The following is a 16151-nucleotide window of genomic DNA, read 5'->3' as shown; positions in this document are numbered from 1 at the left end:
CCTAATGAACTGCTGCAAAGGAAATGCTAACCTTTGGGTAGTCTCAGAGAAAATAAACAAAAGAAGAAACAGTCTCATGTTTTAAAAAGAAAAGAAAAATTTTTGAAAAAACTTTATCCATGTTTATTATAAAAATAATTTGCTTTTTCTATTTCTACAAGCTACAAAACTTACATTTAGTTCACAAGAACAAAAACAAAGGCAAACCAGAATTTGTTTTCGTAGGAAAACAGACAAGTTGTTGTTTAATTTACTATTTAAAAATAAAAAAAAATAATTTGACTCCTATCCATTTCTTTTTTTTTATTATTATACTTTAAGTTTTAGGGTACATGTGCACAACGTGCAGGTTTGTTACATATGTATATATGTGCCATGTTGGTGTGCTGCACCCATTAACTCGTCATTTAGCATTAGGTATATCTCCAAATGCTATCCCTCCCCCCTCCTCCCACCCCACAACAGTCCCTGGAGTGTGATGTTCCCCTTCCTGTGTCCATGTGTTCTCATTGTTCAATTCCCACCTATGAGTGAGAATATGTGGTGTTTGGTTTTTAGTCCTTGGGATAGTTTGCTGAGAATGATGGTTTCCAGCTTCACCCATGTCCCTACAAAGGACATGAACTCATCATTTTTTATGGCTGCATAGTATTCCACAGTGTGTATGTGTGACATTTTCTTAATCCAGTCTATCACTGTTGGACATTTGGCTTGGTTCCAAGTCTTTGCTATTGTGAATAGCGCCACAATAAACGTATGTGTGCATGTGTCTTTATAGCAGCATGATTTATAATCCTTTGGGTATATACCCAGTAATGGGATCGCTGGTTCAAATGGTATTTCTAGTTCTAGACCCCTGAGGAATCACCACACTGACTTCCACAATGGTTGAACTAGTTGACAGTCCCACCAACAGTGTAAAAGTGTTCCTATTTCTCCACATCCTCTCCAGCACCTGTTGTTCCTGACTTTTTAATGATCGCCATTCTAATTGGTGTGAGATGGTATCTCATTGCGGTTTTGATTTGCATTTCTCTGATGTCCTATCCATTTCTTATATACTGAATTCAGAGGTCACATCTAAGATTTTACAAGATATAATGACACTATGAAAATGAGAAAATAAGAAAAATGATCTGATAATGTCTTTGAATTTGAATTAATGTGATTTATTCCAAGTTTTAATCAGTACTAGATAATTGCTTCATTCTATTATCAAAACAATATTAATTTTTACAGGATCTGTTACTTACTCCACATGGACAATAGATTTATGAACTATTGCTTTCTTATCTGCACTAAGAATCTAGTTTTGAGGGTTAAGAGTTATAGGAATATTACTTACAAGTAGACAAATTTGGTTTACATTCCAATTTTGCTGCTTGTTAGCTGCATGACTTTAGGAATGTATGTCTAATCCTCAAATTCACCATCTGAAAGTAACACCCTCATTATTTTTCTTAGAATTAAATGAGACAATGGTGCCTGACTCATAATATTAAAAAATGGTGACCATTTATATTATTATATGTTATATTATCTACTAACACATTTTTTGGGGTCTTGTCATAGGATAAGATCTTGGAAAGTGCTTATCTTTAAGATGGTCCTGATTTAAATCCATTTCATGGCTTAGAATCAGATGCTGTCTTGTATGGAAGGATAAAGTCATATAACCTTTACTTACAGAAGCACAAACTGGCCCCCATGTCTGATGACCGTAACCAAAGCATTTGGGGGCATAAGTTTCTTCTAGCAAAGTAGACTGATAAGGCAGTTGCAGTAAGAACCTTCTGAGCCTCCAGGCAACGTTAATGTCTCTTTCAAATGAATGATGATGGGATTTCCTCACCAGATCAGGTATCTAAAATGAGCTCAGGAAGAGAGTATCCCACAGAATTTCTGGTTCCTGTAGTTAGGGAACCTACAAACCTATAAAGCATTGCCTTTGAATCTTCTCCCTTCTTAACATCAAGAGTTTGAAGATGAGGAGTTTATCAGGGTTCCAGCAGAACACAGAGGACATAGTCAAGTTGGGTTTTTAAGGAGAGTCCATTGAAGGGAATTTTACAAAACACTGGAAAGTTTTAGGTAATGCAACAAAAGATGGAGCAGTATGTTAGGTCAAGTAGCAGTAAAAAGCCGAAGAGGCAAGAGGAGAGAGCTCTTTGAACAAACAGATCTGTAGCAGAGAGCTGCTTGCCAGAAGCTGGCTCTCATTAAAGGACAGTCTACAGTGGTGCAGAAGGAAGGGAGCTGGGGAAGATACTCTCATTCTCCCTCTACCCTCTGACCTTTGCCAGTGCATCCCACTGGCTAATTCAGTTAGAAGCCAGAGGATAAGGGAGCCTCTTGACGCAGCCCAGGATGGCCAGCATTCCAGGCACCGAGTATGGGAGAAGAAAGGGAGAGAATAGATAGAAAACGGGAAACGCAATGCATGCTTCAAGGAAGGGGACAGAATAGGCAGTGTTTCTGGACTTGATACTGTATACTAATAAATATGATTCTACTTAAAACATACTGGTGTCTACACTTTAATTTCATCTGTTATTGGAGTAGTATGGGGGCTCAAGTCAGAATTAGTGCTGATTTTTCTACTCTAATGTCTTAATATGAGCGTCTATTATAAAATTATGTCGAAACTATTGGGCATTTTAGTCAATTAATCAATTAACTTTGGTTAATTGAATAAATAATAAACACAGTCTTATTCATGAATGCTTAAACATTTTTTTTTGAGACGGAGTTTCTTTCTTGTTGCCCACACTGAAGTGCGTTGGCACAGTCTCGGCTCACTGAAACCTCCGCCTCCCAGGTTCAAGCGATTCTACTGCTTCAGCCTCCTGAGTAGTTGGGATTACAGGCACCTGCCACCACGTCCGCCTAATTTTTTTTTTCTTTTTTCTGTATTTTTATTAGAGACGGGGTTTCACCATGTTGGCCAGGCTGGTCACGAACTCCCGACCTGAGGTGATCCACCCACTTCCGCCTCCCAAAGTGCTGGGATTACAGGCGTGAGCCACCGCTCCGGGCTTAAACAATTTTTATTTTACCCACATTACTACTAATTACCACATTACTACTAATTCTACAACAGAGAGAATATAAAAAAAGAGATATGAAGACAACTGGACTTGATCACTAGCCACAAGGATGTGATAAGATGGCAACGTTCAAACTAACTACAAAATTACTACAATAATTAAGTCATAGTGTGAATAAAGTCCAATGAGAACCTGAAGAAGGAATTTCTGGAGCCAGTGGTAATAATCCCTTTGTTTGCTCATGCCTATCAGCATCTACTCCCTGAAACCTATTAGAAATATTCTCTCCCACGCCCTCCCTCTTCCCTAACAAATTTATACCCCCTATTAGTAATACATAGATGCAATAATCTTTGACTCTTTCCCTCTAGGCTCTCAAACTTGAGACATTTAATCAAGGACTTCAAATTTCAGAAGCCTCAGATCTTCTCCTAGGAATGTTACCCACACTGAACTTGAGGATTTCTATGCAGAATGTGATTTTTGTTGTTGCTTTCAGATCTTTCTAATTTGTTCCTAGCTTTAGAAGTAGGTTTGTCCAGATAGATGGTAGATATAGTTACTGTACTGCTAATTTTGATATTTTTCCCCCTGTGATTCTATTCAATACATTCTAGCTTGTTTTGTATTATTTTGCTTTTCCTTTATCTTCCACTTTTACTGAGAATGGGAGGTAGCAATGTAAGAGGGTCAACTATGCAGGCAGACTGAGTTTCAAGTAAAGAAATTTGTCATTCTTGTTTGCTTTGGTTAGCTCTTCGTAAGTATTTTCTGTACCTCTGAATGGGTTTCAAAAGCATGAGTACAGTCTCATTAAAAAAAGAAAAATTTTAAAATTACCCATTTGCTAATTCTTGAGATCACAGAGTTCAATATACCTTCACAGAAGAGTGACAGAATTAACTACCAAGATTCATTAGATTTTCTGGAATAGTCTGTCATCTGGTTTCTACAATTCAAGCCAATATGAGAAGATGCATAAACTAACAAGCAAAATATATGTTCTGCTGATATAACCCTTTGAAACTAAGCATGTTATGAACTTTTAATAAATTTAGTTTGGGGTTGAGTTTGTAATGTATCATTTGAAGATATTTCTTAGAAATATTCTCCAAATGATCAAGATTAGTTTTAATTTTGAGGCAGATTATGCATTAATCTTTTTTTTCACTCAAAGACAATCTTTTGACTCCTATTATTCTGAACTACTTGTTATTGCCAATAATAAAAGGACAGAGTTTAGATCTGTGGGTTGTAACACCACTTGGGTCATTTAACATACATGGGCATTAAATTTACAATTTCACTCTGGGGAAGCCATGTCTAGTGACTGGGAAATATTTTGTAAAATACACTTGTAATTAAATTTATGCTGCTTGTACCAGCCATGAAAAATCAACTAATGAGCTTGCATAAGGGAGAGGCAAGCTCACATTATATTATAAATTGAGAAACATAGCCACAATGCTAATTCTTTCCTAACAAAGGTTCTTGACTCCAAGAATATAACAAACGGTTTCTGAAGGTCCTGTTTTTTCCATAATTTATATGTTGCCTCCCATGATATGCAAAGAAGAACTAGAGTCTAACAAAGGGTTCTAAATGATGACCAATATGGTACTGGGGAGAAGACATTTGTTCAATAAGTAAAACAAAATTATACATCTTTCTTAGTGCAGGTGTCTTTTGCTCGTCTCAACCGTATTTTTAAAATAAAGTATTACCCACTACCTTGTTTCCTTTTTGTATTTCAGAGTGCATTCTTTTCTTTTGCATGTAAAGCCTCTGTTTAGTGATCAAAGGGCAATGAGTGGTGTACATATAACTATTGCTTTACACTCTGACATGGACAGTTTATCTATAATATCTTCAGTGTTGCATTATTCGATTATTTTATCTGAGAATGAGGTTTTCAATGCTAACTCTAGAATGTCACTATGTATCTAGCTGTTTGTCACATTCATCCTACCATATTTGCTGTCCTAAAAAAATTACCCGCCATCATAGAGACTGTATTACATTAAATATACCTTTAGGGATGTTTTAATCTGATAAATGCATGCCAAAGGTCTTTTTCACTCATTTAAGCCTATCTTTTTCTGCCAAGGGACCATTAGTAAAAGTGAATATCCAAGATAAATAAATGTACATGGCATTAAAATGATAATATGGGTAGAAAACAATTATTAGATGATTTCCTATTGGATACAAAAACTATTTTTTTCATATACAAAACTCCATTATTCTAACAAATTATTTTATTTGCCTTTTAAACAATTTTCATTAGAAAAACAAGAACTTACTATATCATTTCCACATTTCAGCTATTTTGCTGTGTAATACCACAAATACAGTTATTTCTGGATTGGGTAGAAAGGGGAAAGGAGGAAACTAGATAAGTTCAAAAAATGAAATTTTAAAAGAAACCTTTTTAACCACAGGGTAACAGTGACCTAGAAAGATACAAATTAGAATTAGATGCTGTTGGATACCACATTTTCCAAAATAGTCTAGTGCTAGGAGACTCCATAAAATATCTTATATAGAACAGGGTTAGAGTAGAAAGGAACACGAATAAATGTTATCTCAATTAGCAACTTTTTTGAAATTCCCCACAGACATTTATTTATTTGAAAAAAAAAATTAAAACATACTTTCTTCTCCTGTCTCTTCTTTTCCAGGAATGAAACTGCCTTTGGATGTTGCAATGGGACCCTAAGGAATGTCAGCCAGTGAGTAGAAGACAATGAAGTCCGGGTGCGGTGGCTCATGCCTGTAATCACAGCATTTTGGGAGGCCGAGGTGGGTGGACCACCTGAGGTCAAGAGTTTGAGACCAGCCTGGCCAAAATGGTGAAACCCCACCTCTACCAAAATACAAAAATTAGCTGGGTGTGGTGGTGCACACCTGTAATCCCTGCTACTTGGGAGGCTGAGGCAGGAGAATAGCTTGAACCTGGGAGGTGGAGGTTGCAATGAGCCGAGACAGGGCCACTGCACTCCAGCCTGGGTGACAAGAGCGAAACTCTTTCTCAAGAAAAAAATAAAATTAAAAAAGAAGACAATGAAGCATCCCTTCCCCCATGGTGGGCCTCACAGTCAATGGGGAGTAACTGCATTTACTCCCTATGCATTGGGGGGAAAGAAAGTGACTTGACCCATTTCAGTGGAACCTGCACAGCTTTGCTGTGGACTTAACCTCCATCTCCATTCTTACCACTCCCCACAAAATCCCATATTTTCTAATATATGTAAAATATAGATACAAAGCCACACATCGACTCTTTAGGGCAATGGTAACTCTAGGTTTAATTAATGGTGACTGAAACTACATCTTGCCCTGTTGTGTTAAAAACATTCACATTATCTGTATTCTGAAAATGATACTGTGCTTAGCTTCCCACCAGAGGCATATATGTTGGAAATAGGATCAGAGAGCATACTAACTTTCAACTGCTATACATTTATACTCTTTTAATTTCCTCTCTCAATAAAATCATTTGTATCTGTCATTTCTCACACTAACATGGTGGAAGGCTTGAGATGCACACTAATGGTTCCCATGAGCTACAGGAATGGACCACTGAGATTTAAGTGACTCCTTCAGGGATACTGTGCAGAGTGAAACTCCGATTTTGAAGTGTTATTTTTGTTGCTGATGTCTCAAAATGTATGGTGTGAACTGAGGAAATGTTGCCTTAAAGGGTATGGCATCTCCACGTGTGGTAGGCAGAGAATTATTTTATAGGATTCTTGTGGCGATCGAAGAGATGTGTCTATTTCATTTTAACTCCATCTCAGCCACTTGCCTAATCAAGATCCCTTAGAGAAGACTATATCCTGGAGTGTTCTAGAGACAAATAATAAACTCATTTAAGTTTCACCCATCTGTGTACAGCTGAGTCTTCCTTGATGATATAATGGATACTTTTTCTGAAACAAAAGTTCTGGATCAAGACTATTTTATTTTTCTTTGCTACACAATCACTTTTTGAAGGAGAAAAATATTGCTCATTTTTAAACCCATATGTGTTTCTACATCTGAACTTTTGGACCATGCCATACTTCCATTTCCTAATTTTTACTTTCGGTTTGGTTTTCTTTCTTAGGGAGCTCTGGTTGATTTATTCCCCAACCTTCACCCCGCTCCCACCCCCAAACAACCCCGAGATAAAGCAAATTTTGAGAACTTAGTATTCATGAGGCTTCAATTGCAAAAATAAAACATAAAATAAAATAAAGACAAGCTTCCTATTACGATGGTCACCCACATGACAAAAAGGAAGTTAAACTGTTTGCTGACATGTCTCTTATGGTTTGAGTCTGAGCTCCCTTCTTAGGAGTCTTGCCAAATACTCAGCTTCCACAGACAATCTTCTGTGGGTGGTGACCTCACTGGAATCTGAGGGCAAAGGCTAAAATACATGCCATAATCATTGCAAACAAACCCTAGCTCTGGTGCAGGATTGCTTGACTCACATTCCTGAAGTAGCTGGAAATATGCTTTTTGGACAGTTTAATAGAACAGTAGGTCTCTTCTCTTAAAAACAACACTTCTTCTAGACATTCCACTTCCTGCTTGCAGTACTACCATTTTCCAAGTGATTAAGAAGGCTCAACATACTTTGATTTTTCTTTCTTCTTGATCATCCCTCACTCATACTCAATTAGTAATTCTAAAATCTCTTTTCTAAAATAAACCTTCTGCTACTCCCTTAATGCAGTATCACTTTACTTTTAGATGACTAATAGAGTGTCTGTCACTTTTATTATTTTCAGTCTCTGTAAACAATCTCTCTACTTTCATCCCCACCTCCTTTTGTTTTCCCTGTGTCTGTAACATACTTGACATGTTTATATAATTCATGGAAAATAACAAAAAGGGAAAAAAAGTAGCCTTTGGCATGTGACCTTATTCACAGGCTTTGCTTAGATACTTACCTTATAAAACCTTGGCTGTCCTTTTGTTGACAAATTAGCATGGATAGTTTTGCCATGGGTACCGAATTCTATTTTTTTTTTTTTTTTTTTTTTTTTTTGAGAGTGAGTTTCTCTCTTGTTGCCCAGGCTACAGTGCAGTGGCACAATCTCTGCTCACTGCAACCCCTGCCTCCTGGGTTCAAGCAATTCTCCTGCCTCAGCCTCCCGAGTAGCTGGGATTACAGGCACCTGCCACCACACCTGGCTAATTTTTGTATTTTTAGTAGAGATGGGGTTTCACCATATTGGCCAGGCTGGTCTCGAACTCCTGACCTCAGGTGATCCACCTGCCTCGGCCTCCCAAAGTGCTGGGCTTACAGACATGAACCACCGTATCTGGCTTACCGAATTCTTATATGTGCCACATGATGCTCTCTCCCTAGGATCACCTGGCTGCTTTTCAAGGAAGTGATCTCAAACTGGTTTTGGGAACTACATGTACTTTCACTACTGCATACCAGTGCCCTGACTTAGCCCCAGGTGCCCACCAAGTCATGTGGCTGGATGTTGGCTAAGGCATTTCTTTTTTCTACAAAGTGAATACGACAATAACCTCTCCAAAAATAATTTTAATCATATGGCTTATGTAGTTACACAGCATCAGCAACTCCTCTCTCAACTGGAATTCTGGAGCCGGGTCAACATGGTATCCAGTTTTATCGTGAGCACAAGGGAAAGCTTCTGAACCTCTCTATGACTAAGTCACTTTACCTGGTGACAATTAATCAACTTGATTTTCTAATAATTTACTTTGATTTAAGATTAATCTATACTTCCTTTCTACTGTCCTTAATCATTGTTGATACCATCATTATCTCAAGTCTTATCAAATAAGTAGGATAGTTTTCTACCTCTTTTTTTGTTTGTTTGTTTCTGAAATAGGTGGCATGAAACTGACATTATTGTTCCATGAAAATATGGTAAAGTTTTAAAACCATCAGATATGGGAGTTTGCTTTGCAATTATTTGTTAGGTTGACATATGTATTCTCTTCAATTTTCTAAATGTATATTTCACATTAAAAGGTGAAGGAAAAAGTAAACTTATCAAGTCTTATTGGCCATTTAATAGGATGACTTTTTGGTTATCAATTTAATTTATTTAGGGTGACAAGTTTACTTTTATTTCATCCTAAGTCATTTCTGGTAATTTAAAATTTCCAGATAATTACCAATTTTGTATAGTTTTAAAATTTATTGACAAAATAATATAGTAATGTCATATTTTTTAAAAAAATCTACTCTGCGTTTTTTTTTTTTTTTGAGACAGAGTCTCACTCTGTCACCCAGGCTGGAGTGCAATGGCACAGTCTTGGCTCACTGCAACTTCTGCCTCCCAGGCTCAAGTGATTCTCCTGCCTCAGCCTCCTGAGTAGCTGGGATTACAGGCACATGCCACCGCGCCTGGCTAAGTTTTGTATTTTTAGTAGAGACGGGGTTTCACCATGTTGCTTTGGCTGGTCTTGAACTCCTGACCTCAGGTGATCCACTCGCCACGGCCTTCCAAAGTGCTGGGATTACAGACGTGAGCCACTGTACTGGGCCACTGTACTGGTTGAAATACATTTCAACCCTAGAAATGTATTTTTCTTGTAATTTGGTCAATTTTTACTATACATATTTATTTTGAGGCTGTGTTTTGTGTATTTAAGTTCATGAGGAATTTTTTTTAATCCACTTTTATTCATAAGAAAGATTGGTCTATACTTCTTTTGTTCTGTCCCTAAGCATTGTTGATACCAACATTATATCCCAATTGTTTTGTTTATCTTCATGTTCTCTTTGGGGATAAACTTCTCTTTTTGCTTAAATACTTACCAAGGAATTATTTGCTTTATTGGAAAGTCAATGGGTAGTAAATGTTCCTAACTCTGTTTGGCTGACAATGTCTTTATTTCACCCTCCTGTCTTAATAGAACTAGTTTACTTGGGTATGAAATTCTAGTTTGACAATTTGCCTTAGTATTTTCTTTCTGTTGTCTTCTGATACCTATTGTCCTGAGAGAATTCCATGGTCAATGTAGTTGTTAAAACTATATAGGTAATTTGTATTACTTCTGTGAAGGCTTTTAAAATATTTTATTTTCCAAAAAATTAGCCAGGCGTGGTGGTGCGTGTCTGTAATCCCAGCTACTGGGAAGGCTGAGGCAGGAGAATTGCTTGAACCCAGGAAGAGGAGGTTGCAGTGAGCCAAGATTGTGCCATTGCACTCCAGCCTGGGTGACAGAGTGACGCTGCGTTTCAAAAAAAAAAATTAACAATAAATAAATAACTACAATAAAAAATTAAATATTTTATTTTCCTTGTTTTCCTGCAATTTTACAATATGACAAGGTGTGCATTTTTAGTTTATTTCAGTGTATGTTTTGCATGCATGTGTGTGAGAGCATTTTGTGTGTTAATTTTGAGGTTATTTTATGCAAATTTATGCAAATATGAAATATTCTCAGATATTTTATTCTTTCACTATGTTTAAAAAATATTTTAGCTAAGACTTCTAGAAATCCTAGCAGCCATACATTGTAGCTTTTCCATCTATTCATCCATATATCACATATATCATCACTGTTCTTCTGTATTTTTTAATCTTTTTTTCTTTCCGTGTTGCATTCTGAGTGAATTCCTTAATAATATCCTTCACTTTATTACTTCTGTCTTCTACTGTATTTAACTTAGAATTGGATTTGATTTTAAATTTCCAGGGACTAGTTTTTATGCCTAATTTTTCTTTAATCAGCTGCTTTTGAACTTTTTAACTCTTTTTGTTTCTTATGAACTATATTTCTTCAAGTTTTTGAGGATCATAAACACACTTACATAAACACATTTTCAGTTGACTTATTATTTTTATTTTATCAGGAGCATATTTTCCAATTGCTGATTTCACTTTCTGTCTCTGTTACCATGAGAGTTTACTATCTTGGAGTTTTATTTTTGGGCTTCTCTTGAATTGAAGTTTTCTCCCTTATGATGTTTTTCTATGAAGTGATTTTAGGGTTACTTTCCTTAGGTTTTCTTCCATTCTCCAGTTAAGTCTTTTGCTGTTTCAAGGTCCCTGTGCTGCCATCACCTTAGGGATTATTCCTATAAAAGGTTTGATCCAAGTACTAGTTGCAAGGCAGTCTGTGATCCTTGCCATGACAAATATTCAGTTCTGGAAAAGCTACAGATCAAGGCAAAATTTTACCATTTCTTCATTCTAATTTCAGGGGTACAGGATGTTGCTTGCACATCCAGTTTCATCTGGTGAACCTCTATTTCACCAACCTGGAAGCACTTTTTGTTGATTCTCTTAGTGGAGTGAGATGTCCAGCCAATTTAGCTTTGTTGTTGTTGTTGTTGTTTTTCAAATAGGTCTGTGGCATCTAACTCTTCTTGCTAAGTTTTTATAGCGTTCTGACTTCTTACAGCCTATGATTATTTTTTAGCTGTGCAACCACGTTGAGGTCCCTGGTCTAGTTCACTCTGCTTGCTTTCCAGATGAGTATTACGGAAAAGAGTGCTGTGAGCTTAGCCCATGTGTATTTTTTCCTTTCTTACCAACAGAATCCAGAACAATGCCGAGCTGAAGATCTAAGTCTCCATATTCCGCAAGCATGACTTTTCGAATACAATTTAAAATAGAAATCCATTTTGTCTTCCATGATCTTTAAACCTGCTACACTTGAATAACATTTCTACTAGATCTCATGACTTCCTTGATCACTCTTGGGTAAACCAATAATGTGATGGGCACTCTAAGTCACAAAAATGGGCCTAATTTTGGTGATTTAAATGCTCAGTCTTGCGTAACAACAAAAGCCTCAAATTTAGCAGCATTTCTTCCCCTCCAGAAGGTTGATCATCGACTAAGTAGGTGAGCTGACATTTTCGTTCTTCTTCAGCTACTCCAGTCCCAGTGTCTTCTGCTCATCTGGCATTGGAGTCTGGGAAAGCAGCAGGAAATGAGAGGAATAACTTTTTGATTTCAGTGTGCTTCCGGTTCTCTGGGCCTGGCAGGTATTTTAAGAAGAAACTGTGTAGCCGGGTGGGGTGGCTCATGTCTGTAATCCCAGCACTTTGGAAGGCCGAAGTGGGAGGATCACTTGAGGTCAGGAGTTCAAGACCAGCCTAGCCAACATGGCAAAACACCATTTCTACTAAAAATACAACAAAACTAGCTGGGCCTGGTGGCATCCCCCTGTAGTCCCAGCTACTTGGGAGGCTAAGGCAGGAGAATTGCTTGAACCCCAGAGGTGGAGGTTGCAGTGAGCTAAAATCTTCCCACTGCACTACAGCCTGGGTGACAGAGTGAGACTCTGTCAAAAAAAAAAAAAAAAAAGAAAGAAAAGAAAAAGAAAGAAACTGTGGCTTATAATCATACTATCCTGAATGTGTTTGAATGTCTGATCTCATCTGGTCTTGTCAAAGCTAAGCCAGGGTTGGGCCTGGTTACTACCTGAATGGGAAGCTTCCTGGGAATACCGTGTGCTGTAGGCTTAAAAAAAAAATCTGTAAGTGTTTTTTCACAAGGCTTTTTGGAGTTTCTTTACTTTGGGGTCTCCTCAACTTCTGACAAAACTATTTGGGGAAATCTTTTTGAAGCCACCAGGCTGGCATTACTAATATGGGTAGGATATTCTGTCTGTAGGATTTGTATATTTTTGACCCACTTCTAAGGGGAGAAGTGGAGTTTCCAATGTTCCAGCTACTCTCACTCTGCTTTGACATGATGGGCCAACAGCCACAGCAAATGTCTTTAGATATCTTATGTGCTTGACAAACGTTCCTACGAGCTTTTACTACTGTAAGAAACATATCAATGCTCTCTGGGAAGTCCCCTCGAAGTTAATTACACCGTGCTTCTCCAATGAGGGGGCGTGAAACTCACAACATGGCCAAGAAATCTTGAAAAGTCGTCTCTCTCTCTCTGTCTCTCTTTTTTTTTCTTTGAGACAGAATCTTGCTCTGTTGCCAAGGCTGCAGTGCAGTGTCACGATCTTGGCTCACTGTAACCTCCACCTCCCAGATTCAAGTGATCTCCAGCCTCAACCTCCAGAATAGCTGTGATTACAGGTGCACACCACCACACTCAGCTAATTTTTGTATCTTTAGTAGAGACAGGGTTTCACCATATTGGCCAGGCTGATCTTGAACTCCTGACCTCAAGTGATCCACCTGCCTCAGCCTCCCAAAGTGTTGGGATTTCAGGCATGAGCCACCGTGCCTGGCCCAGAAGTCCACTCTCTTCACATTTCTCTCTCAACACTTTTCATAGCCTCAATGGAGCACAAAAGTTCTAAAAAATCACACTCATAATCTGGATAATCTCTTATTTATTGGTCATTCTACCTTAATCTAAACATTCACTTAACATTTTTTCAGCATATTTCTTAGGAAAATGAGACATATGTAAAAATTGTTGGGTGAGTCCTCTGGTTGAGCTCTTTTTGTTTTTCTGCCCTGTCTTTTTTGGGGTTTGTCTGGAAAGGGGTTAGGGTGGAGCTCTGGGCCCAGCATGTAAGGTTGGGAGAAACATAGATTTGTTTCTGACATCCTTGAATAAGTGAAACAATGTTGGTAATCATTTACCACTAGAATTTTTGTTATCAAAAAAATCATTATTCCTTAGGTTTTTAAGCCAGATTTTTATTTCTAGAAACTGAATGATCTTTATAACTTTTACATATACTAAGATAGAGATGAAAAGATTCACCAGCATCACTATGCTGGCTCAGAGCCTCTTCTATGCCCTATTCAGAGCTCTGGGAGAAAGGAATCTATGGACTGCTTTCCTATCCATGTTGCCTGGTTGGCTGGCTTCCTGCTGTTCTTGGCCTACGGAAGATAGCAACTGGAGATTGGAAGGTGGAAGGACAGAGGATGTGGAATACATTTTGCCTGCTTGCTCCAACTTCTTCACGATGGCAGTAACCAGGTTGTCCTCCAACTACAGATTTTTCTTTGAAGCTCTACCACAGTGCCAGTTCTCATTAGAAGCTAGTTAACCAAGGTCTACTCCTTGTCTCTTTAGATTTAGGCTTTCTACTGCTGCTAGTTTTCTGGAGCCTCAATGTGTTGTTCTTTCAACCTTGCTCATACCTTCATTAAACTAAGAGGCCACTTCATGAAAATTTTGTTATTTGGGCCATCTGGCTTGAATTCTCTTTCTACCAGGTTCCTGACTGATACTGCTATACAATTATTAAGTGCAGCAGCAGAAGAAACTATCAACAGAGTAAACAAACATCCTACAGAATGGGAGAAAATCTTTGCAAACTAGGCATCTGACAAAGGTCTAATATCCAGCATCTATAAGGAACTTGAACAAATTTACAAGAAAAAGCAACCCCACTAAGAAGTGGGCAAATGACATGAACACACTTTTCAAAAGAAGACATACATGCAGGCAACATGCATATGAAGAAAAGCTCAATCACTGATCATTAGAGAAATGTAAATCAAAACCACAATGACATAGCATCTCACACCAATCAGAATGGCTATTATTAAAAAGTCAAAAAATAACAGATGCTGGTGAGGTTATGGAGAAAAATGAACCTTATACACTGTTGATGAGAGTGTAAATTAGTTCAACCATTGTGGAAAGCAGTGTGATGATTCCTCAAAGAACTAAAACAGAGCTACCATTGGATCCAGCAATCCCATTACTGGATATGTACCCAAAGGAATATAAATTGTCCTACCATAAAGACACATGCATGCGTATGTTCATTATAGCACTATTCACAATATCAAAGATATGGGATCAACTTACATGCCAATCAATGGCAGACTGGACAAAAGAAATATGATACATATACATCATGAAATACTATGCAGCCATAAAAAACAAAGAGATTATGTCCTTTACAAGAACATGGATGGAGCTGGAGGCCATCATCCTTAGTAAACTAATGCAGGAACAAAAAACTACATTCCACCTGTTCTCACTTATAAGTGGGAGCTAAATGATGAGAACACATGGACACATAGAGGGGAACAACAGACACTGGGGCCTACTTGAAGGTGCAGGTTGGGAGGAGGAAAAGGATCAGAAAAAAATAACTATTGGTTATTAGACTTAGTACTGGGTGATGAATAATCTGTCCAACAAACCTCCATGACATGAGTTTGCCTATATTACAAACCTCCACATGTACCTCTGAATCTAAAATAAAAGTTTTTCAAAGGGCAGTCAAGACAGGTCTTTTAATTCCAAGGCCAGTCTTCCTTCCCTTGTACATCACAATGTTTCATATACTTTATAGCCAATGAATGACTAATTTAGTTTTATATATTATGATGTTTTGCCATAAAAACAAACCAAAAAATATAGGCAAATACTTGTCAATATAAATATATATTTGTTTGCTAGGGCAATTTATCCTAGTTAAATATATGCTTATAAATACATATTTATATCTATAAAATACCTTTCACTTATTCTTTTTATGTACATAATTTGTGTTCTCTTGACACCATAAAATCCATAAACAATAGCAAAAGACAATACATCATAACTTACATTGCTATGGAGAAAATTCTTATAATATCATTTTTAATTTCAACAAATGGAAAAGAATAATATATGCAAAGCCTTATTCTCATTACTAAAGTCTTTATTCAAACTAAACACACTCTCATTCTAACACTCTAACAGGAAAATATTGCTTTTTGGTTTTTATCTACAGAATGAAAAATGTAATTCTTAGAAAATGTTCTTATTCCAAACTTAGAATTCCCCCTATATATTTAGAAAGCATGCTACCTTAGTCCTCAAAATTGTTAGATGGTGGTAGCACTAAAACGAAAAGACTTACTATGAAGTGATATTATATGTTTTCATTCTGGATGCCCAAACAATAAATTTGAAAGAGATGTATTTTTGAATTCAATACCAACGTGTATGTTTATATAACCATATATAAAAACTCTAACCACTGATCATGAATAGTCATAATTTAACCTTAAACTTAGGAACATAAACCAGTTTCATTATCTCCTTCTTTTCCCTGATGGACATAAGGAAAATAAGTCTTTTTCTGAAAAATACAAAGGGATTTCCTACATGGCAGAATTACAGACAGCAGATTAGGGCAACAGCAAACATAAACTAGTTCTTTCAGAGGATAAGAAAAGTCCCA

General features: G+C 37.2%; 1 protein-coding gene and 1 pseudogene across 9 annotated transcripts in view; one reads left to right on the top strand and one right to left on the bottom strand.

Annotated features, from left to right (window-relative positions):
* MALRD1 (MAM and LDL receptor class A domain containing 1) overlaps nucleotides 1–16151 on the bottom strand; it is a 687552-nt gene that overhangs the window by 88292 nt on the left and 583109 nt on the right. The window contains exon 38 of one of the 9 annotated variants that reach the window (XM_017016183.2): nucleotides 10487–11951. The exons of the other annotated variants lie outside the window; for them this stretch is intronic. Within the exon in view, the coding sequence (XP_016871672.1) occupies nucleotides 11906–11951 (46 nt within the window). The 3' untranslated portion in view covers nucleotides 10487–11905. Of the gene's footprint in view, nucleotides 1–10486; nucleotides 11952–16151 lie in introns of those variants that run through there. 9 annotated transcript variants of the gene reach the window in all.
* RNA5SP303 (RNA, 5S ribosomal pseudogene 303) lies at nucleotides 12375–12504 on the top strand (annotated as a pseudogene).

Source organism: Homo sapiens, chromosome 10 (assembly GCF_000001405.40).
Source record: "Homo sapiens chromosome 10, GRCh38.p14 Primary Assembly".
Classification (NCBI taxonomy): Eukaryota; Metazoa; Chordata; class Mammalia; order Primates; family Hominidae; genus Homo; species Homo sapiens.
Note: the sequence above shows the minus strand (reverse complement) of the source record. Positions and strands in the feature narration are given on the sequence as shown.